The sequence below is a fragment of the Homo sapiens genome, chromosome 15 (genome assembly GCF_000001405.40).
Source record: "Homo sapiens chromosome 15, GRCh38.p14 Primary Assembly".
In the NCBI taxonomy this organism is placed as follows: domain Eukaryota; kingdom Metazoa; phylum Chordata; class Mammalia; order Primates; family Hominidae; genus Homo; species Homo sapiens.
This window is the reverse complement of record NC_000015.10, coordinates 64,207,757-64,232,101: the sequence shown is the minus strand read 5'-3', so window position 1 is coordinate 64,232,101 and position 24,345 is coordinate 64,207,757. Positions and strand designations below refer to the sequence as shown.

At 40.9% G+C, this 24,345-nt stretch overlaps 1 protein-coding gene across 4 annotated transcripts in view; it reads left to right on the top strand.

Moving 5' to 3' along the window:
- CSNK1G1 (casein kinase 1 gamma 1) overlaps positions 1-24,345 on the top strand; it is a 190,649-nt gene that overhangs the window by 124,072 nt on the left and 42,232 nt on the right. For all 4 annotated transcript variants that reach the window (NM_001329606.2, NM_001329607.2, NM_022048.5 and 1 more), the window contains exons 5-6: positions 15,389-15,540; positions 17,978-18,212. In NM_001329606.2, coding sequence (NP_001316535.1) covers positions 15,389-15,540; positions 17,978-18,212 — 387 coding nt within the window. The remainder of the gene's footprint in view (positions 1-15,388; positions 15,541-17,977; positions 18,213-24,345) is intronic.

The window sequence follows — 24,345 nt, the reverse complement described above, 5'->3', positions numbered from 1 at the left end:
CTTCATATTGCCTTAAAGCCAGCCTGTAGGTAATCTCTTCTACATTAGTGATAATGCAAGGAGATGAAGTTTTCACTAACAAAACACTACACATCACTGTGTTTATAGCTACCACTATGCTGGGTAATTTGAGGGCCAAAGAATTATAAATAAGATGATCTCTGCCCTTCAGTACACTAGAGTGTCATTGGAAGGAAAATGTAATATTTACTGAGCTTACAGTATGTTCATGTTAGGACAGTGAGGTTAATGGTAGGACAATAATGGTAAGTAACTGTAACACAAGCTAAAACAGTAGAATGTTATATATATTTTTAAAATGCATATAAAATGAGGAAGTTCTGAAAGAAAAAATGGTTTCTAATTTTGAGAAAGAGAAAAGGTTTTATAGAGAGAGTGGCATGTATGGGGCTGAGCTTTAAAAAACGACTATGATTTATTTGAACATATAAAAATGGAAGAGTAAGGAAAGCTTTCCAAGTACAAAAAATAAACCAAGTCCCAGAGGCTGCTATGTCTCTGTTCATGCATTTATTAAAGAGATATTCTTGAGCATCCCACTTGGGTTAAGTACTATTCTAAGCTAAGTCTTAGGGATACAGTAGTGAACAAGATAGGCACAGCACCTAATATATATATGTATATGTGTGTGTGTATATATATATATATCCTAATATATATATACATATACATATATGAGCAAGACCTCATCTCCAAATATATATATGTTTATATAAATATAAAATATAAATATATATATAATATATATATATTTGGAGATGAGGTTTTGCTCTGTCACCTAGGCTGAAGTGCAGTGGTGTCATCACAGCTCACTGCAGCCTCAACCTCCTGGGCTCAAGAGATTCTCCTACCCCAGCTTCCTGAGTAGCTGGGACCACAGGCATACATCACACGCTCAACTAATTTTTTTATTTTTTGTAAACATGGGGTCTCCCTATGTTGCCCAGGCTAGTCTCGAACTTTTGGCCTCAAGCAATCCTCCTGCCTCAGCCTCCCAAAGTGCTGAGATTACAGGTGTGAGCCACCATGCCCAGGCTTAATTAATGTTCTAAAAGGAATATAACCTGCAATTTTATTTTATTTTATTATTTATTTATTTATTTTTTTGAGACGGATTCTCGCTCTGTCACCCAGGCTGGAGTGCAGTGGCACAATCTCGGCTCACTGCAACCTCTGCCTCCTGGGTTCATGCCATTCTCCTGCCTCAGCCTCCTGAGTAGTTGGGACTACAGTCACCCACCACCACGCCTGGCTAATTTTTTTGTATTTTTTAGTAGAGACGGGGTTTCACCGTGTTAGCCAGGATGGTCTCAATCTTCTGACCTAGTGATCCACCCACCTTGGCCTCCCAAAGTGGTGGGATTACAGGCGTGAGCCACTGCACCCGGCTGCCATTTTATTTTTAAATACCCTCACAGACCTGAGTACTCAAGTAATGGGGACTGTCGTGCTAAATGTTGAAAATAGGCCCAAGCCTAGAGTCAGAATAGGGACCAAAGAAGATTTAGAACTCTGGCAGTTTGGGAAGGATGAGGTGGGAGAACTGCTCGAGCCCAGGACTTCAGGACCAACCTGGGCAACCTAGTGGGACCCTGTCTCAACAAAAAATTAAAAATTAGCCAGGCGTGGTGTCACACGTCTGTAAGTCCCAGCCACTCGGGAGGCTGAGGTGGGAATATTGCTTGAGCCTGGGAAGTCAAGGCTGCAGTGAGCCATGGTTTGTGCCACTGCACTATAGCCTGGGTGATAGAGTGAGACCCTGACTTAAAAAAAAAAAACCAAAACTGGCAATTTGGCACTATATACTAAAATATTAACTATGCAAGCATTTGACTCAGCATTTCCTGTTTAAGGAATTAACATTCAAGATATGTTTACCGGGCAGGGCATGGTGGCTCACGCCTATAATCCAAGCACTTTGGGAGGCCCAGCGCGTCAGGTGATCTGCCTGGCCAACATGGTAAAACCCTGTCTCTACTAAAAATATAAAAATTAGCCGGGCACGGTGGCGCATGCTTGTAATCCCAGCTACTCCAGAGGCTGAGACAGGAGAATCCCTTGAACCCGGGAGGTGGAAGTTACAGTGAGCCGAGGTCGCGCCACTGCCCTCCAGCCTGGGCGACAGAGTGAGATTCTGTCTTAAAAAAAAAAAAAAAAAAAAAAAAAAAAAAAAAAAAATTTACAAACATGCCCAAAAATATAGGCTTAAGGATTTTTTTTTGTAGTATTGCATGCCTATTTGTCTAGATGCTTTTATTTGCCAAGAGTAGAATCCCAGTTCAAGCTCACTTGAGAGAGGGAGAGGAGAATTTCTTGGCTCACAGAACTGAGAAGTCAAAAGCATTCTCACTTCAAGCCATCCAGATACAGGACTAATAATGTCCTTGGTCCATAGGTATGTGATACATTTGCCTCTCTTTTTTTCTCACCTCTTCTTTCTCTGCATTAGCTTCATTCTCAAATAGGCTTTCTCCATGTGGTGGTCCCTGGCAACTCCAGGCTGAGCTGCTTTCAGTTTAGCGATCAGGGAGAGAGAGAGAGAGAGAGAGAGAAAGAGAGAGAGAAAGAGAGAGAATACTCCTCCTTCTCTATAGTTCCACAAAAGTCCTAGAGTTGACTCTTGTTACATGAGAGACATGGCACCCATTCCTGAGCCAGTTTTCCCAGGCAGGCAGATAGAGTATTCTGAGTAATTGGGCTTGTGGCATCCTCGGGATGTCAGTGGGAGATGGGTTGCCCCCACTTTAACCACATGAAGTAACACTGGGGAAATGGTACTTTCCACTGTAAGAATAAGGTGGTGTTATCAGAAGGAACAAAAGGATGCAGACCAGGCAAAAGCAATAGGTGTTCACTATAATATATATTTCTAATTAACACATGGAAACAGCATGAATGCCCATCAGTAGGGGGAAAGTTAAACAGATATGTTACATGGTGGAATACTATTATACTACTATTAATATGTAGCTATTAAAATGAATAAGGTAGGTCTATATGTTGATAAGAAAAAATATCCACTCTGTAGTATTTTTCTTTTTCTTTTTTTTTTTTTTTTTTTTGAGACAGAGTCTCACTCTGTCGCCCAGGCTGGTGTACAGCGGTATGATCTCAGCTTACTGCCAACTGCTGCCTCTGAAGCTCAAGTGATCCTCTTGTCTCAGCCTCCCAAGTAGCTGGGACCACAAACACACACCACCACACCTGGCTAATTTTTTGTAGTTGTGGTAGAGACAGGGGTTTCACCATGTTGCCCAGGCTGGTGTTGAACTTCTGAGCACAAGCAATCCACCTGCCTTGGCCTCCCAGACTGTTCGGATTATGGGCGTGAGCCACCATGTCTGGCCCATGCTATAGTATTAAATTAAAAATGAAGTTGCAGTACACTGTTCTTAATCATGTGCCTTTGTGGTTGTGAATACTTTTTCTTTTTCTTTTCTTTTTTTGAGACGGAGTCTTGCTGTGTTGCCAGGCTGGAGTACAGTGGCATGATCTTGGCTCACTGCAACCTCCGCCTCTGGGGTTCAAGTGATTCCCCTGCCTCAGCCTCCCCAGTAGCTGGGAATACAGGCGTGCGCCACCACGCCCAGCTAATTCTTTGTATTTTAGTGAGACGGGGTTTCACCAGGATGGTCTGGAGCTCCTGACCTCGTGATCCACCTGCCTCGGCCTCTCACAGTGCTGGGATTACAGGCGTGAGCCACCGTGCCCGGGTGTGAATACCTTTTCTTTATATGCTTTTTACTGCTTTTGGTTTGCTGTTATGTTTGGTTGTCTAAAAATGGGTAATATAGATATCCATGCTATATCTGTCTGTTTATCACTTTTATAATTTAAAAAAGTAATGCCCCAGGTGGTTCCTGTTCAAGACCAGGGACTGGAATTGACAAGGCTTGAGAACCACAGAGAGGTGGACAGGAAAGGTGAAAAGATAGTGTTTGTGGAGCTGATTTTAAAATAATGGGGGAGAGGGCAAGAAAATTTCTTAAAAATTAAAAATAAGGGAAGCCAAAAGGGTGAGTAGGACAAATCAAGCTGCCTGTGGAGCATAGTGGGGGATTTATGTACTGGAAAGGTGATAAAGAATTGGTGGAAAAAGAAAATGTTAACCAAAAGGGCAGGACATAGGGTTTGGAAGAGTTGGGTTGGGGAGCATGGAGAATAATTTTGGCAACAACACAGATGAAAAAGAACATTGAGAGTAAGAGAATGTAGGCAGCTTAGTGTAGAGAAGAGAACAGTGAATCTGGAATTGAGAGATTTGGTTGTATTATTTGGGAACCTAGGAGATTTCACACAATATTTCTCAGGGTTTTTATTTCATCTGTAAAATGGGGTCTTTAGTACTTCCCCTGTTTTTCCTTACAGGATGACCATGAGATTCAAGTGTGGTAGGAAAAGACTACTTAGGTGAAGAAAAGACCGTGTATTTCCAAGTTAAATGGGACCAAAATAAAGAATTTGTTTATAAATTGAGAGGGAGAAGATAAGGGTAGGAAGAAGTTACTGGACTTCCTTTCATATTAGATGATTTAGATGTCTCATTTTTTTGGTCATTTAATCTGTTTGGATGGGCAGGTGCTGTTTTGAGAGAGGAGAAGACATTTGTTTGTGTGTAGTTTTCAGTGCTGTTAACTGAAATAAGTAATTCTGCATAGTTGTTTACCTACATATGGGAACAGCAAGATAAACTGTAGATATCATTTACAATCATCATGGAAGATTTAAAATACACAGAAGTCAATGTAGAAATATTGCAACTCTGAATTTACTTGGAGTATTCATACTTGTGGCTTGCCCAGCAGAACTGTCTTTTAAAAGTATTCCCATGAAATGTAAGCAAGAACTCAGAAAAATCAATTGTGTTAGTATTCGTGCACATTTTAAATCCACTGAATTTGCTTTGCTCTGTATGTATTGTGTGTATTTCAGCATTTTGAGGAAAGCATTAGGCATTCCAAATGGAAAACTCAAGTGCCATCGCACTGAGTTGTAGTTATTAATTTACTTAGTACTTATTTTAACCATATCTACCATATGCTTGGACCAGTGCTAGGTGCTGACATACAAAAAATTAACACACAGTAGTTGCTGTCTTCAAATAGCCTTCTGTTAGTAGGGAAGACAGACACATGGATAAAGAAAGTGTAATGGGACTGGGGCACGATTGTCAGGAAGGGGATCACTGTACTTTGGGTAACCTCATTTTTTCCTTTTCATTCCTTCTAGCTGCTTGCTAGAACCTTCTTGACTTTTTAGTTGTTAATTGTTCAGGTGGATTTTAAGAAGAATCAGGTGTATTTTCTTAGGTTTTGAGGCAGATTTTGAAATTCAGTAGATAATCCATCTTTTTATCTTAAATCACAGGAACTACAGTACTAAGGAAGGTGGAAAAATGTCAAATACTGGATTTTTTAATCTCATGAATTTACCATCTGAGTAAAGTTAGTCTGTTAGTAACTGAGCTGAGCTGAGTTAGTCTCCTTTTTTTTTTTTGGTTTGTTTGTTTGTTTGTTTGTTTGTTTTGAGACGGAATCTTGCTCTGTCACTGGGCTGGAGTACAGTGTTGCGATCTTGGCTCACTGCAGCCTCCACCTCTTGGGTTCAAGCGATTCCCCTGCCTCAGCCTCCCTAGTCTGGGACTACAGGCGTGCACCACCACGCCCAGCTAATTTTTTGTATTTTAGTAGAGACGGGGTTTCTCCATGTTGACCAAGATGGTCTTGATCTCCTGACCTCGTGATCCATACACCTTGGCCTCCCAAAGTGCTGGGATTACAGGCGTGAGCCACCACACCCAGCCGAGTTAGTCTTTTTGGAAAGGGAAAGGACTTTACTCCTCTGCCCCTACCCACCTCCAATACACAACACACTTTTACCTGTTTTTATTTTGGGCCAGGCACAGTGGCTTACGTGCCCAGCACTTTGGGTGGCCAAGGTGTTACCAGATGGAAAGTCTTGACTGTGAGTTGTCCAAGTTCTTGGTGCCTTGAGCAAAGAATTGAACAAAACGCACAAAGCAATGGAAGACGAAGGCATAGATTTGTTGAAGTGAAAGTACACTCCACAGAGTGGGAGCGGGCTTGAGCGGGTGGCTCAAGAGCCCTGATTGTAATGTTCCTTGGGGTTTTTATTGAATTAAAAGAATATGGTAAGCCGGGAGCAGTGTCTCACGCCTGTAATCCCAGCACTTCGGGAGGCCGAGGCAGGTGGATCACCTGAGGTCAGGAGTTCAAGATCAGCCTGGCCAACATAGCGAAACCCCGACTCTACTAAAAATATAAAAATCAGCTGGATGTGGTGACAGGCACCCGTAATCCCAGTTACTTGGGAGGCTGAGGCAGGAGAATCAGTTGAACTTGGGAGGCAGAGGTTGCAGTGAGCCGAGATCACGCCATTGCACTCCAGCCTGGGCGACACGAGTGAAACTCTGTTCAACAACAACAACAAAAGATCATGGTAACACATCTAAGTACCTTTAGGGGCTTCTGATAGGTTATGCCCTATGTAAATGAAGGATTCTGCCCTAGGCCAATCAGAGGCAGGATTCTGTCCAGGACCAGTCAGAATCAAGATTCTGCCCAGGACCAATCAGAGGCATCTCACCTATGGCATATATGCAGATGAAGGTCCCAGAATGGACCAAAACCAGACATTCCCATTCCTGACATAGGGGAGGGGAGGTTCGGAGAGGGATGGGCCTTTGGCCTGTTATGACTTGGTTGTGGACAGGTGGGGTTTTCCTCTTAGTCCAATTCCAAGAAGGCAGCCATAGGTTGGCCTTAGGTTTACTGTTTCCAGACCCTATTCTCCTGCCTCAGAGGCAGGTGGACCACTTGAGGCCAGGAGTTTGAGACCAGCCTGGCTAACATGGTGAAACCCCAGCTCTACTAAAAATGCAAAAATTAGCCAGGCATGGTGGTGCATGCCTGTAATCCCAGCCACTCGGGTGGCTGAGGCAAGATAATCGCTTGAACCCAGGAGGTAGAGGTTGCAGTGACCCAAAATTGCACCACTGTACTCCAGCCTGGGCAACAGAGCAAGACTCTGTCTCCAAAAAAAAAAAAAAAAAAAGAAAAGTGTATTTTGGATTCTATCTACTATAGAAGAAATCTGTCCTCTGTCCTGTCTTGGGCTTTCTTTTCTGACTCCTTTTGGGTAAATAAAATGTTAAGCCTGCTTTAAGGCTCAAGGCATTCATAATTATGTGTATGTAATAGAGACACTGTTAAAGCTCAATGTCTGTGGCTCGGAAATGTGAAATTATTCCTCTTCTTTTGCCTTTCCTCACTGCCTCTTCCCCCACCATACAAATTTGAGCTCGTGTTAGCAGCCTATGTTTGGCAGTATTCCAGTTCCCAGGAGGCCTTTAAACAAGATGATTGTAAAACATTTTTCATTACAGGACAGACAAAGTAATCCTGTTTTCTTAATTCTGGGCCTAGCTGTTTTTGTTATTAAACCAGCATTTTGAGTAAATTCATATGTTTAACTGGTTCATGTTGCAAAGAGACATTTTTCAGAGTCAGAGACATGAGAGGGATTGTTTGTTCTTTTTTAAAAAAGATATACTACGTATTATCTCATATCTTTGTAATAATGCATTGTTTCATGGGTTTATTCTCAGAGTTTTAAAGGCTATGCTTCCATTTTTCCCTTTCGTTACTTACAATGGAATAACATCTCATTTATCTGCCTATTTCTGATTTCTTGCTAAGGGTACATGTTTAATATTATTTTCTTTAATGATAATTGCCCATGTATTATAATAATAATTGCCTGATCCCTCAGAAACATTACAGAGCATTTAGTAGTTGTGCTAGAAACTATTACTATTGATGGGGCTGAGAAGAGAATTAATTTAATTTGGGAGAAAAATTATTCTATTTTCTTTAAACATTAAAAAATAAACTATATAAACAAAGCAAAAGAATGGGCTTGCCAAGGTTGTTGTCCTTCATAGTTAGGTAATTTAGTTTTTAAAAAAGAATGAAAGACTAATTATTAGGCAATAATAGGATCAAATTACCAAAACCTTTGAGGTGGTTCTATTTCAGTTCTCAACCTGATGTGCATTTTAAAATATCTCTACTTAGAGTAGTTAGGGTTCATAATGTGTTGTAGATTGTTTTTAGATAACAGCTTGGATGATAAAAGAAGCCATTTTCCTTGAATTGGTGTATTTGACTCAAGTTAAACTTCATACAGACTGAAAATTAGCTCTAGTGTTCTACATTCATTGCCTATTCTGTGCAGCTTGATGTACGTGTGAGCCATATGTCTGGCAGGGTTTATAACATCATGTTATTGATGATGGAAAGGCTCTTTCATAGTACTAAGAAAAATATACAAGATAACATATGTACTGTATATGTAACCTTGCAGTTTGGTTTATAAGAGATTTAACCTGTAGTTAAAGGAAATATAATGAAATCTATTGGAAATCCTTCAGAAAAGTAAAATTCAGTAGTCACTTCTTTAGTTTCCAGGTTTCTATGCAGTTTACCAATTTAGGAAGGGGAGACCTCATTAGCACATTATTTCCAGAGCAGATGAGAGATTATAAAACTATTAATACCTTAGTTTCCAATATACCATTGATCAAAGAATCCAGCACATATCTTCCTTGCCTGAGTCTCCCACTTCCTTTCCATTCCCTCATAATTATTTATAGAAAGTACCTGTTTACCGCATGTGTACCTTATGTTGCACTTAAGGATCTGCCCTTCTCCCCAGCCTCATTAAAGGATTTCATAGCATAATGTTGATTAATTTAAAATTTCTTAAGCAGTGGATTAGAGATGGCTCTGCAAAAGAAGAATGAAATATACAGGATTTTTTTTTTCATTTAAATGCAGCCCAGCTGATAAGCCGTTACTGTGTGGTAATCTCTGACCAAAGAGACAGACTTTCTTAGTGTGCTTGTGTTTGTGTCTTTTACCACCAGCACAGACCACTTTATGGGCACTCCTGCGAAAAACCAGGCTCAGAGTAGAACTTGCATGGGGAGCTTTCTGTACAGATAGTTCTAATAAATTACAGCTACATCTCCCAAAGAAACTTTTATGCTCAAAGGTATATTTTCTGTAAGAAAATAACTAAGAAACTTTAAACAGAGAAATCTTTTTAACTTGCCTTAAAATTCTTTCCTTCAAAAGGTATTGAGTCCAGTTGTTTTGATCTGAAATAACTTCTGAAAGAGACCTGTCACTGTATTCTGAATCCTTATATTAATCATAAAACAAAGCAAAACCCTTTATTTCTACTCTCTAGATATAGTGTTTTTCAGCTGAGGTTACACATCAGAATCACTTGTGGAGCAATGTTTGCTTCCACTCCTAGAAATTCTGACTCAGTAGGTAGGAGGTGAAGTCACTGCATCTCATTTTGGGTTTTTTTTTTTTTTTAAGTTTTAAAGATATTTCTGATAGATACACTTCCAGTTGAGTTTCACTACCAGCTTATATTTGAATTGGTGCCACACGTTATTTCATAAAATATGGAGGTGAGTTTCATTCATAGTTCTGTGGCTTTACAAAGAGGAACCCAGAAGGTAGCTAGAAGGAAATCCTGGCCATAAGAATTTGGATTTTGAAAGGAACCAGTCTAAACCCCCTCCTCTTTTTTTTTTTTTTTTTTTTTTGGTGGTGTTGTTGTTGTTATTTCTTTATTTCTTCTAAGGAGAAAAAAAACGGGATACATGTGCAGAATGTGCAGGTTTGTTACGTAGGTACATGTGTGCCATGGTGGTGTGCTACACCTATTGACCCGTCTTCTAAGTTCCCTCCCCCGACCCCCCATCCACCAACAGGCCCTGGTGTGTGTTGTTCCCCTCTCTGTGTCCATGTGTTCTCAATGTTCAACTCCCACTTATGAGTGAGAACATGTGGTGTTTGGTTTTCTGTTCCTGTGTTAGTTTGCTGAGGATGATGGCTTCCAGCTTCATTCATGTCCCTGCAAAGGACATGATCTTGTTCCTTTTTATGGCTGCATAGTATTCCATGGTGTGTATGTACCATATTTTCTTTATCCAGTCTATCATTGATGGGCATTTGGGTTGGTTCCATGTCTTTGCTATTGTAAATAGTGCTGCAGTAAACATACATGTGCATGTGTCTTTATAGTAGAATGATTTATATTCCTTTGGGTATATACTCAGTAATGGGATTGCTGGGTCAAGTGGTATTTCTGGTTCTATATCCTTAAGGAATCACCATACTGTCTTCCACAATGGTTGAACTAATTTACATTCCTACCAACAGTGTAAAAGTGTTCCTATTTCTCCATAGCCTCTCCAGCATCTGTTGTTTCCTGACTTTTTAATAATCACCATTCTGACTGGCGTGAGATGGTATCTCATTGTGTAAACCCCCTCCTCTTTACAGATGAATAAGCTAACCCAGAGAGGCTAAGGAATGTGCCAGAGTTGAAAGCAGAAGCAAATACTAGATCTAAGACTCTGACTTGAGCTTTTTCTACACTGGTATCTCGGACCTTGACCCTCTCCTAGAAATGCTTCAAAACCACTCAGTGGTCTAGAAGTTGCTTTGAGCATCCCAAAGCCTGCCAGTGTGTTGTGAGGTCTCAGGGTACTTAATAAAACCAATAATGCAGCGAGCAGGAACTCTTAATTCTTCCAAGTTCCTAGGTAGGAGTAATGGGTGACATTATAGTTAGAAATTGTAGATATTACTCAAAATCCTTTTGTGACTTCATTGTAAACATGGAAACTTCTGGCAAAAGATAATCTAGATTTGATACTAAGGATTATTAAGAACAAGATCAGTTGTCTCATTTAAACTGAACCTTAAGTATTGGCAACAAGTGTAGGAAATTATGCCAATATTATATTTCTAAGCAAGCCTGACTTTTAGCTTGTACTTTAGAAAGAGGATATTATGCCCAGATTTGCAATTTAACCAACGAATGGAGTAATATGTTTATTAATTAGGATTAGAGTTGGCTGCTTTTTAAAAATCCAAATACAAGTAGCTCAGTCAAGGTGGAGATTGATTTTTCTTTTTGATAAAAAAAATCCAGAGAGAAGAAAAGTCCAACATTAGCATGGTTACTCCACAGCCATCAGGGACTTAGGTTCTGTTTTTTGCTCCATCTATTCTTGGCACTACTTTACATCGTCAAGATGTCTGGTGATTCTAGATGGCTTCTGGACCTTTCATTCTAGCCATCTCTCTTGAAAGAATTTTTTTAGAATTATACACTCAGTGGCCAGGCACGGAGGCTCATGCCTGTAATCCCAGCACTTTGGGAGGCCAAGGCAGGCAGATCACTTGAGGCCAGGAGTTTGAGACCAGCCTGGCCAACATGGTGAAATCTCATCTCTACCAAAAACAAACAAAAAAAAAATTAGCCATAGTCTGTAGTCCCAGCTACTCAGGAGGCTGAGGCAAGAGTAAAACTAAAAACAAAATTAGCTGAGTCTGTAGTCCCAGCTACTCAGGAGGCTGAGGCAAGAGAAAAGCTTGAACCCAGGAGGCGGAGGTTGCACTGATCTAAGATCATGCAACTGCACTCCAGCCTGGGCAGCAGAGCAAGACTCTGAATAAAAAAAAAAAAAAGAGTTATACACTCATTTCTGCTTCCATCTCATTGGTCTTTCCTAATTGTCAAGGGAGACTGGAGTTATAACTGGGCAAGTTGCTATTTGCAACAATTAGAAGTTCTGGGCCAGGCATGGTGGCTCATGCCTATAATACCAGCACTTTGGGAGGCTGAGTTGGGTGGATCACTTGAGGTCAGGAGTTCAAGACCAGCCTGACCAGCAAGATGAAGCTTCGTCTTTACTAAAAATACAAAAATTATCCAGGCATGGTGGCAGGTGCCTGTAATCTCAGCTACTCAGGAGGCTGAGGCAGGACAATGGCTTGAACCCAAGAGGCGGAGGTTGCAGTGAGCTGAGACCACGCCACTGCATTCCGGCCTGAGCAACAGAGCAAGACTCTGTCTCAAAAAAAAAAAAAAAAGTTATGTTATTTTAAAAGAAGGGGAGGCTGGGCGTGGTGGCTCACACCTGTAATGCCAGCACTTTGAGAGGCCAAGGCAGGCAGATCACGAGGTCAGGAGATCGAGACTATCCTGGCCAACATGGCGAAATCCCATCTCTACTAAAAATTTAAAAATTAGCTAGGTGTGGTGGTACGTGCCTGTAATCCCAGCTACTTGGGAGGCCGAGGCACGAGAATCACTTGAACTCAGGAGGTGGAGGTTGCATTGAGCTGAGATCGTGCCACTGCACTCCAGCCTGGCAACAGAGCGAGACTCTGTCTCAAAAAAAAAAAAAAAGAAAAGAAAAGAAAAAGAAAAAAAGAAGGGGAGAGGCATCCCTGTAATCTTAGCACTTGGGAGGTCAAAGCAGGAGGATCAGTTGAGCCCAGAAATTCAAGACCAGCCTGGACAACATAGTGGGAGCTCATCTCTGGAAAAAATTTAAGAAACTAGCCCGATGTGGTGTCATGTGCCTGTGCTCCCAGCTGTTTGGGAGGCTGAGGCAGGAGGATTGCTTGGTCCCAGGAGGTCGAGGCTGCAGTGAGCCATGGTCATACCACTGCCCTCCAGCCTGGGTGACACAGTGAGACACTGTCTCAAAAGAAAAAAGGAGAGGGAGAATGGATATTGGGCATGCAAACAACAGGCGCTGCCACAACCTGCTTTGAAGAATATAATATTTATATTAGGAAAATAACATTTTAGTGGCATTAAATCCTTATATAGGACATAAATTTAAAAGATCCCCAAACTGCATTTACCATGTGTCTGATTAATAAAAGCAGTAAATCTCTAGGACAGAGTGTTCTGCTTTGGATGTCTCAGCAGGAGTCATTGGAAACAACTAGTTGGGTTTTATATATTTTTAAAAAGCTGAAAAATGACTTCTTCAAAACAACCGGGAAAAAAAGACTCTTTGGGGCCTGGTGTGGTGGCTCACGCCTGTAATCCCAGCACTTCGGGAGGCTGAGGCGGGCGGATCACCTGAGGTCAGGAGTTTGAGGCCAGCCTGGCCAACATGGGGGAACGCTGTCTCTACTAAAAATACAAAAATTAGCTGGGCGTGGTGGTGTGCACCTGTAATCCCAGCTACTCAGGAGGCTGAGGCAGGAGAATGGCTTGAACTCGGGAGGCGGAGGTTGCAGTGAGTCGAGATGGCGCCAGTGCACTCCAGCCTGGGCTACAGAGTGAAACTCCATGTAAAAAAAAAAAAAAAAAAAAACACTTCAAATTAAATCCTTTTCTCTTTTGGAGATAGGGAGAATCAAGACAACAACAAAAACAATTGAACAGATATTTATTGAACTAGCAGGAGTAACATATGTTAGAGGATACAAGCTAGGAATAAACATATTTAAAGAAAATGTTCAAGTTGTTTAGGATTTAGGCCGGGCATGGTAGCTCTCGCCTGTAATCCCAGCATTTTGGGAGGCTGAGGTGGATGGATCACTTGAAGTCGGGAGTTCGAGAGCAGCCTGGCCAACATGGCAAAACCCTGTCTCTCCAAAAAATGCAAAAAAAAATTGGTGGACACCATGCCTGTAATCTCAGCTACTTGGGAGGCTGAGGCGCAAGAATTGCTTGAACCCAGGAGGCGGAGGTTACAGTGGGCCAAGATTGCGCCACTATACTCCAGCCTGGGTGACAGAATGAGACTCTGTCTAAAAAAAAAAAAAAGTTGTTTAGGATTTAATGAATCAAGATAGACTAATACAATATATGAAATAGTTATTAATTCCAAATATGTGAGACCTACCCTCGAGAGAAGTATGTGTTAGATGTACATCTGTCTATATCCCACCCATAGAAATAAAAAGGGAATGGGGCTGGACACAGTAGCTCATGCCTGTATTCCCAGCACTTTGGGAGGCCAAGGAGGGAGGATTGCTTGAGCTTGGGAGTTGTTCAGGACCAGCCTGAGTAACATAGTGAGACCCCATCTCTATAAAAAATCAAAAATTTAGTCTGGTGTGGTAGAGCGAGCCTACAGTCCCAGCTGCTACTTGGGAGGCTGAGCTGGGAAGATCGCGTTAGTCCGGGAGGCAGAGATTGCGAGCCGAGATCTTACCACTGCACTCCAGCCTGGGTAACACTGAGACCTTGTCTCAAGTTAAAACACTTAGAGGCAGAAGCAAACAATAATCTACAACATATGCAACTGTAGACCACTATATACATAAATATATAAGATGGGAATGTTTCTGCTCTGTGAAACCAGATAATTTTTTAAGTGTTCTATAATCTTTTTTTTTTTTTTTTGAGATGGAGTCTCGCTCTGTCACCCAGGCTGGAGTGCAGTGGCGCCATCTCAGCTCACTGCAACCTCCGCCTCCTGAGTTCAAACGATTCTCCTGTCTCAGCCTCCTGAGTAGCTGGGACTATAGGTGCGTGCCACCATGCCCAGCTAATTTTTGTATTTTCAGTAGAGACAGTTTCACCATGTTGGCCAGGCTGGTCTCAAACTCTTGACCTTGTGATCCACTCACCTCAGCCTCCCAAAGTGCTGGACTTACAGGCATGAGCCACTGCGCCTGGCGTCTGTAATCCTATTTAATATCTACTATTCTCATGGTACCAGTTATATATTTAGTGAATGCCTCATATTTACAATGCACTTTATAAAGGAAATTCATTCACAATTTGCCACTTAGGTGAGAAAGTCTGGATTTTGGCTTCTTAATAGTTATGAATTTCAAATCTGGGGAAAACCCAGCCTTGTGTTTTTTCCCCCTTTTCCTTTCATCAGCACTTATCAGCAACCAAACACTAAGTGTCTGTTGACTTTTCTCCAGCTGATAAAAAACAAAAAACTATAGAGACTCCCTGTGAAAAGAGGGCCAGTTGTGCTGGCCTGGGGCCAGGCTGCACGCTCTGTGACCTTGCCTCTTCAGTCTGAGTTGTCCATAGGGCAACAGTTCCAAATAGCCCATGTGGCTATGGCAGTAAGCATAGAGAGTGCTCATGAACCAGATAATGTAACAAGTTATGTTAGCCTGGCCTTTGAGCTCAGTGAGCCATCCTTTGAGCCTTTTATGATACTGCACTTTCAGGCATCCTTTTGGGAAGATCCAATGGATCAGGGACCATTCTCTATCTTATAGCAGTGGAAATGTTTTTGGCACTGTGGTATTAAATAACTACTCATTTGAACGTATTGTGCAATGACTTAGCCTTTCCCATCATTATTAGTTCCCATTGAAGCTGTTGTGCTCAGTTTGAGTTTCCAGTAGGGACTATGAAAGAAAATGGAAATCTCACAAATTGTACTTTTAAAAATATTTTATTCAGTGCTAATACTGTTATCTCATATTTTGGCTTTTGTGTCTCCCACTGTATACCCCCATTTCCCCTCTGCTTTCAGGTGAAGGTCTCCCACAGGTGTATTACTTTGGACCATGTGGGAAATATAATGCCATGGTGCTGGAGCTCCTTGGCCCTAGCTTGGAGGACTTGTTTGACCTCTGTGACCGAACATTTACTTTGAAGACGGTGTTAATGATAGCCATCCAGCTGGTAAGTTGGAATTGCTCTTCTAGAAGAGAATAAGCTGGTTCCTCAGCCACATCCTTGTGGGCCTTTTGGTGATTTACTAGCCGTAGCAACACATCAAGAATTAGTACTCACAGGCTTGATGGCATTCTGGGAAGCTGGCTGGGGCAAAAAGGGTAAATTCAGAGAAGTCACACTACATCTGCAATTTGCTCTATTTTAAGACTTTGCACCTTGGAGCAATGCTCTGCCCTTAACTGAAGAGGAAGTATATAATTTAGATTAGGGAGAAAGAGGTCGATTAGATGGAGTTGTAAAAATGTGAATAATTTATTTGATTTTGTTTTGTTTTGTTTTTCATTTTTGAGACAGGGTCTCTGTCACCCAGGCTAGAGTACAGTAGCATGATCATAGCTCAGTGCAACCTCAAACTCCTAGGCTCAAGTGATTCTCCTGCCTCAGCCTCTCCAGCAGCTAGGACTGCAGGTGCCATGCCAGCTCATTTAAAAAAAAAAAAGTGTTTTGGAGACAGACTCCCACTATGTTGCCCAGGCTTGTCTAAACTGGTCTCAAGCAGTCCTCCCACCTCGGCCTCCCAATGTGCTAGGATTACAGGCATGAACCACTGCACCCAGCCTATTTATGTGTTTTAAATATAGCTGTAAGGTTTTGTCATGTCCTATCTCTCCCTTCACTGTTGCAACCAAGAAAAGATTGATGTTATAACCCATTGCACTAACACTCAGATTCAAAATTGTGTGACTAGGAATTTGCTGTAGTTCTCAGGCCTCCAGTTCTCTCAGAGACAAATTTCAGCTGAAGAGGCAGCTCTTGTAGCTCCTACCAAATTATACACAAATACCAGTTTAAGAAGCAGTTCCAACAGTTCCTTTGAGAAGTTTGTCACAAGCCCTTTGGGGAAGGATGCAAATATATCTTCATTTGTTTAAAATGGTAATGGTCTCTCCCACTGTCCTATAAAAATTTGGAAATGTTAGATAATTGACTTTGACTTTTGAGCCCCAAATTCAAATATCTGAGCTTCTCTTTCTCTACTAAAAGTTAGTAGAAAAGGGCTGGGAATGGTGGCTCACGCCTGTAATCCCAGCACTTTGGGAGGCCAAGGTGGGCGGATCATGAGGTCAGGAGATCGAGACCATCCTGGCTAACGCAGTGAAACCCCATCTCTACTAAAAATACAAAAAATTAGCTGGGCGTGGTGGCGAGCGCCTTTAGTCCCAGCTACTCAGGAGGCTGAGGCAGGAGAATGGCGTGAACCCAGGAGGTGGAGCTTGCAGTGAGCCGAGATCGTGCCACTGCACTCCAGCCTGGGCGACAGAGCAAGACTCCATCTCAAAAAAAAAAAAAAAAAAAAAAAAAAGTTAGTAGAAAAGCTTAGTAGATAGAAATACTTAATAAAATTTGAAATGCTTTTATGATTATTATTTTTGGTTATATTTAACTTAACATAAAAACTATAGCCCTGGCCAGGCATGGTGGCTCGTGTCTATAATCCCAGCACTTTGTGAGGCTGAGGTGGGAGGGTCACTTGAGGCCAGGAGTTTGAGACCAGCGTAGGCAACATAGACCCCATCTCTACAAAAATAATCTGAAAATAAATTTAAAACAACAACGATGAACTGTTTCGGCCAGGCATGGTGGCTCATGCCTGTAATCCTAGCATTTTGGGAGGCCGAGGAGGACGGATCACCCAAGGTCAGGAGTTTGAGACCAGTGTGGCCAACATGGTGAAACCCTGTCTCTACTAAAAATACAAAAATTAGCCAGGCATGGTGGCATGTGCATGTAATCCCAGCTACCCGGGAGGCTGAGGCACGAGAATTGCTAGAACCCAGGAGGCTGAGGCTGCACTCCACCCTGGGTGACAGAGCAAGACTCCGTCTCAAAAATAATAATAATAATAATGAACTGTTTCCCTGTCTCTGCTGCTAATTAGCTATGTGATGTCAGGCCAGTATTAACTTCTCTGGGCCTCACAACATCGAAAACTGGGTTGGGTAGTCTTGTCCAAATAAGCATAAGAAGATGTGGGCAGAAGGTGAATGTAGCAGTGGCATTTGTCTCAAAGGTCACCAACAGTTTGATATCCTACCTGGGAATACTTCTTTTGTCTCAAATGCTTAATTTTCTGACGTAGCATATAAACAACTGATTTCATTTGTCATTTGCAAATTGTGACATTATGAGGTAAAATTGAGCTATCATTTTAGCAGACCTGTACTATCCCACTTTTTTTCCTAGTCTTGATATTTGTTGTGTACGTATTTATAGCAAAATATTTTTTTGTTTACAAGTCAGTGAAGTGACTCAGGGCGGTGAAAGGAGATGAATTTTACTGTTATTTCAATAATTAAAACCTTGGTCTGGCTAAAGAAACTGTTTTGATGTATTTTCCTGATATACTTCTTTACAGTCTTTCTATCATTTGTTTCTCTTTCAGCTTTCTCGAATGGAATACGTGCACTCAAAGAACCTCATTTACCGAGATGTCAAGCCAGAGAACTTCCTGATTGGTCGACAAGGCAATAAGAAAGAGCATGTTATACACATTATAGACTTTGGACTGGCCAAGGAATACATTGACCCCGAAACCAAAAAACACATACCTTATAGGGAACACAAAAGTTTAACTGGAACTGCAAGATATATGTCTATCAACACGCATCTTGGCAAAGGTGTGTTTTTTTCTGTTCCATGAAAGGGGCGAGTCATTAGAACAGTTTATTATTTCTGTAACATTATATCCCCATTGTGCATTACAACTTGTGGTTTTTATTGTTTCACAAGGTTGAGTGATTTTTATACATGAGAAGTTGAGATGGTAAGTTAATGACTTTTCAAAGAATCCTATAGACTATGCATAGGTTCTTAATTCTTTACACTGTTTCCAAATGTTTAGTTTCTGAGCAGTGTGAGTACTTGAATTATTGTAAAAAGAGGATAGCATTTTAATGAGTTTAGTAATGAATTTGGTATTTACTTATGTATGACCCTATATATGATAGTCCTGAAGAGGACATCAGGCTGGGTCAGCGGTGGGGAAGAGTGCCTCACTAAAAATGGAGTAGACTTCTGTTCACTGCACATAGTTCTGCACAGAAGTCTTCAAGGAAGAGCTTCTGTCTTATTCAGTGAAAATATACTTGGTTTACCATTAGTCTTGCAATTTACTCAGGATAAACAACCTGCACAAATATTGTTAAATGCTCTAATCAAGGCAGAAGACCTTACCTGTGAGGAACTAGCCCAAGGGGGAGAGTATTTGTCAGAGAAGCCTAAGGAACAGTGGGGAGACCAAGCAGGCAGAGCCCTAGGCTTATCCACTTCAAAAAAGCCTCCCTTTTTTATGTTTCATATATTGGGCTTCCATGGAAGATTCTATTTGAAGAAAAGACTCCTAGGTGATTGAAAAAAACATGTTTGAAAATCAACATTCTAGAGAGTAGACAAGCAGAATATTCTCAGATTCCATACTCCTAGGCAGAAATAATTATAAAATATTCTTAAATATTAGTGAACTATTGCACACTAAGATGTATTTTATTTTATTTATTTTTTTGAGATGTAGTCTCGCTCTATCACCCAGGCTGGAGTGCAGTGGCACGATTTCGGCTCACTGCAACCTCTGCCTCGCGGGTTCAAGCAATTCTCCTGCCTCAGCCTCCCGAGTAGCTGGGATTACAGGCATGCATCACCACACCTGGCTAATTTTTGTCCTTTTAATAGAGACGGGATTTCACCATGTTGGCCAGGCTGGTCTTGAACTCCTGGCCTTAAGTGATCTGCCTGCCTCGGCCTCCCAAAGTGCTGGGATTACAGGTGTGAGCCACCGTGCCCAGCATATTTATTTTATTTTTAGAGACAGAATCTCACTCTCACTCAGGCTGGAGTGCAGCAGTGTGATCATAGCTCACTATAACCTCAGTCACCTGAGCTGGAGAGATCTTTCTCAGCCTCAGTAGCTAGGGTTACAGGCGCATGCCATCATGCCCAGCTAACTTCTAAATTTTTTTATAGAGATAGAGTCTCACTGTGTTCCCCAGGCGGGTCTCAAACTCCTGGTTTCAAGAGATCCTGTTGCCTCAGCCTCCCAACACACTGGGATTATAGATGTGAGCCACCATGCCTGGCCTGCACATTAATAAGTATTTTAAAGACTAATGTAATATCTACTAAGTTCCCTCATTGAGTAAACTACACAGGTTATTCACCTGAGGAATTCAAGTGATAGTGAAGAGTAAAAAATGGCATTACAAAGTAGTATGATACAATTCGATTTGAAATTATGATGTTATCAAGATTTTTTCAGTAACCACATGGAAATCCTCACTTAAGTAAATGTAATACTTTAAAATTAGACTAGAGGTCCTCTGGTACTTACTATCAGCGTTACTTTGGACAAGTTACTTAATCTCACTGAAACTCCTCTGTAAAATGAGGGTAATGCTTCACAGGGATATTTTGAGGGTTGAATGGATAATATATGTGAAAGCACCATGTCTGACATAGGTCTCTTGCATAGTGCTCAGCATCCCCTTCTTCCTTCACAATGACAAGTAATTTTCCATTTTACAAGGAAACAAAAACTGTATCTTAAATAATAAACTTAAGATTATGTGGTTTAACTGACAAACTCTAGAAGTTGTTTTAATGCCCACTTCCTGGGCTCAGCCATTTGTGTACTAATTTTATTGTTCTTAAGAGGAAAGACAAGAACAGACAAGGGATGGGTGTTCATGTTATGTTTGTATAAGATACAGAGTAGTGGTTAAGAAAAAGGATGCAAATCCTGGCGCTCTTTCTTAATAGCTATGTAATTTTGATCCAATAACCTTCTTCCCTCAGCCTCGGTTATCTCATGTATAAAATGGGTATGATAATTATGCCTGTAATATATGGTTCTATGAGATAATGTATGTAAAATGTTTAGCATAATGCCTGATAATAGTAATATCAGTCCATATTGTAATTATCCCGATTATTATTTATTCAACAAAATCTGTTTTAAGCATCTACTGTGCATCAGTCTGTTTCATCTCTTGGTGTACTGCCATTCCTGCCGGGACTTTTGAGTTTACCCCCAGACTTGGCTTACTGAGTACCAGAGTTTTTCAGGTCAAATCTAACCTGTCATCATATTTTGTGCTCTCTGCATTACAGAGAATACATAAAGAAAGTTGTCACTGCTTTTTAAACTCTTTCCCATGCCTCAAACGATAGAAGTTTTTGTAGGAACTCTAATGCTATTGGTTTTTAAATGTGTTGCATTTTTTTGTGTTGCAAAGAAGAAATGACTGAGATGTGTATTTTCAAATGGCTTTGAGAAAATCACTTCTTAATTTTACAGAGGAGGAGGACAAGAGAAGAAGCCTCCTAAACCTTGCATTAGTTGCCACATCAGAGTAGCCACACTTACTTAGTCCATTTTGTGTTGCTATAAAGGAATACCTGAGGCTGGGTCATTTTATAAAGAAAAGACCTTTAAATTTGGCTCAGGGTTCTGCAGGCTGTACAAGAAGCATGGCACTGGCATCTGCATCTGGTGAGGGCCTCAGGGGCCTCATGCTGCTTCCACTCATGGTGTAAGGGGAAGGGGAGCAGCCAGCATGTGCAGATCACATGGGAAGGGGGGTGCTAGGCTCTTCTCACCAACCTGCTTTCTTGGGAACTCATCCCTAAGGGAGGTCGTTAATCAGTTAATGAGGGATATACCCCCATGACCCAAACACCTTCCATTTGGCCCAGCTTCGAACATTGGGATCAAATTTCAACGTGAGGTTTGTGTGTGTTGGGGGGTCCGGGGGAAGGACAGAAATCCAGACCATAGTAGCCACCTTCCCACTGATTAAGCTTTTACTGAGAAGCCCAATTTATATTATTTAATGGTTGAAATTAGGGTGAGAACACTGGGTTACCTTGCTCCCTGCCTTCAACAAATATATTTAACCTAAAATCAGGGATGTTATGCATGTAAACCAAGCACATCTTTCTGATTGGATGAAAGCACACCTTTCAACCAATCAGAAGAATTGAAGAATTTTGTGTCCTGCTGGTCTCACTGGTATTGGAAACCTTTCTTCTTTGAAAATGAAAATATGCTGCATGAAAAAATGAGGGCATGTAGAAATAATGAATTGGACAAGTGTGGAGTGTTCAAAGTCGTATGAAAATAAAGCATGCTCTGGTTTTCACTCTTATTTTTTTCCTGAAAGGCCCTAAAGGCTTAAGTTATCAGATTATTTTAGAATTTTAGAGCTGGAAAATGACTTTTCAAATTCTCCCCAGATTGAACACTTTATTTTCAGATGAGGAAACTGAGACCCAAAGTAGGTGACTTGACCATGCTTAATTTCACTGGATTAAATTAGTGGAAAGGATAAACCAAGATCTAGATACCTAAATCGTTGAGCTGATTTAGGTACCCTTATTTTGGGTACCTTATTTAGGTACCCTTCCTGATTTAGGAACCCTTATTTTTCCTATTGTCCCATATTCTATAGTTCTTTTTCATAGTTCTCAGGATTTGAAAAGTTACTTTATTACTTATTCCAGTGAGTTTTAAAAATATATTAATCTCATAATTTATTTTGCTGTGAAATCTTTTTTCTGTAGGCCTGATCAATATTGAAAATGTGGAGAGTTTTCGCCCTCTAGTGCTCAACTGTTTAAAATTCAAACATTTGTCCAGTGAATTTTTAATAACCAAGGGGCTTCTTGTTACAGGAAGTGGATATAAAAATGGAGAGGCAATGAGTAGGTGTGATACAGTATGAGAAACTGCAGAGTCGTTTCTCTATCTGCCCTGCTTTGTGGGAGGCCTCCACTCAACTCTCCTTGTTCTTTTCTCTTTTTCATTTGTGCATCCTTAGGTTGTGTCAACAAACTGTTTTTGTATAACTGCTTTTTTTTTCAATTATGAATATTTTATTGCAAACTTCAGACAAGCCATGTAGACAAAGGATTCTGATGGTCATGCTGTTTTCATTCTTTTTAAGATTGTTTCAATTGTTGTATACCAACTCAGTTTTATGTTATTTATCTCTGTCAGGGTACCTCTCCTTCCCATTAGTAACCATCTTTTTACAACCTCCATCAAATCATTATTTAAAAAGTTGCCTTTTCTTTCTTCATCTACCCTGTAGACTACTATTCTTTTTCATGCAAATTCCCTATAATTTAAGGCAATAGTTAAACATGTTGCACTTCTGTATTTTGAGTTAGCTGAGTGGCTTTCTCTGGCTCTCTTGGGTTTTACTTTCTGTACAAAGAAAGCACAATCAAGTTGAAGGTAGCCTCTTAGTCTTGCTTCTGTAGTTTATTCAGATAAAGCCCTAAACTTGATTCTGAAAAATAAACACATAAAATGTCTGAGATGGGCCAGGTGTGGTGGCTCACACCTGTAGTGCCAGCACTTTGGGAGGCCAAGGCTGGTTGATTGCTTGATTGGCCCAGGAGTTCAAGACCAGCCTGGGAAACATGGCAAAACCCAGTAACTATAAAAAATACAAAAAGTAGCCAGGGATGGTGGTGCATGCCTGTAGTCCCAGCTAGTGAGGAAGCTGAGGTGGGAGGATCACTTGAGCCCAGGAGGGCGAGGCTGCAGTGTCCAAGAACATGCTACTGTACTCTAGCCTAGGCAACAGAGCGAGACCTTGTCTCAAAAAAAAAAAAAAAAGAAAAAAGAAATCTGAGACTAAACCATAATTGGCAAATTCAAAATGAATGCATGGACTGGGTGCAATGGCTCACATGGGTAATCCCAGCAGTTTGGGAGGCTGATATGTTAGATTTGCTTGAGGCCAGGAGTTTGAGACCAGCTTGAGCAACATAGCGACATCCCATCTTCACAAAAAATAAAAATAAATAAATTAGCCGAGTGTGGTTCCACACACTTATATTCCTAGCTACTCAGCTGAGGCAGAAGGGTCCCTTGGGCTCAGGAATTTGAGGCTGCAGTGAGCCATGATCACAACACTGCACTCAAGCCTAGGAAACAGAGCAAGGACTCTGTCTGTAAAAAAGAATAAAGAAACGAAGGTGTGTACTACTTAGATTCTAACAATCAAAGAATGTGTAGGATGTTTTCTGAGATGAAGTTGCAGTTTTTTGTTAACTATTTTGCAGTTCTTTGTCATCTTCACCTTCCCAATTAAAAGGAGAGAAAAACCCAGCAACTTGTTTTAGATACGCTTCCAGAATGCAGGGACTTTGATTTTTTGTTTTATTTTGTTTTGGGATGAGGTCTCATTATGTTGCCCAGGCTTATCTCGAACTCCTGGGCCGAAGCGATCCTCTCACGTCAGCCTCTTAAGTAGCTGGCACTACAGATGTGTGTAGCCTTACCCATCTAATTTTGAGGAGACCTTAGTAATAAATTCTAAAATGTTTTTGAGGTTATAGGACATGGTACAAATTGAATGGGAGCCAAGAGAGTATGTACTGATGTTCATTGATATGAAACTTAATTTTAAGTGTTAATTTTTATGATGAATAAAAAGCACTTGGCATGTTTGCTAGGCATTTTGCAGCTTGTATCTTTGCAGGCCTAGCCAGAATGGACTGTTTTAACAGTTTGGGTTGCTTAATCTGCTGCTCACTCTCTGGTGGTAACTAAAAGGTAATTGTAGCCCATATACTGGAAATAGCATTTCATTAAAATTTTATCACTTTCAGGAAGGTGACAGCATTGAGTGAGGGGTGGAAATTCACTGTTTAGTGATTTGGGCTTGGTTTTAATTCAGAATTTGCTCTTTTCTCTTGATATTTACTTACCATCAACAGATCTAGGCAAAGGAAGTACACATCGGT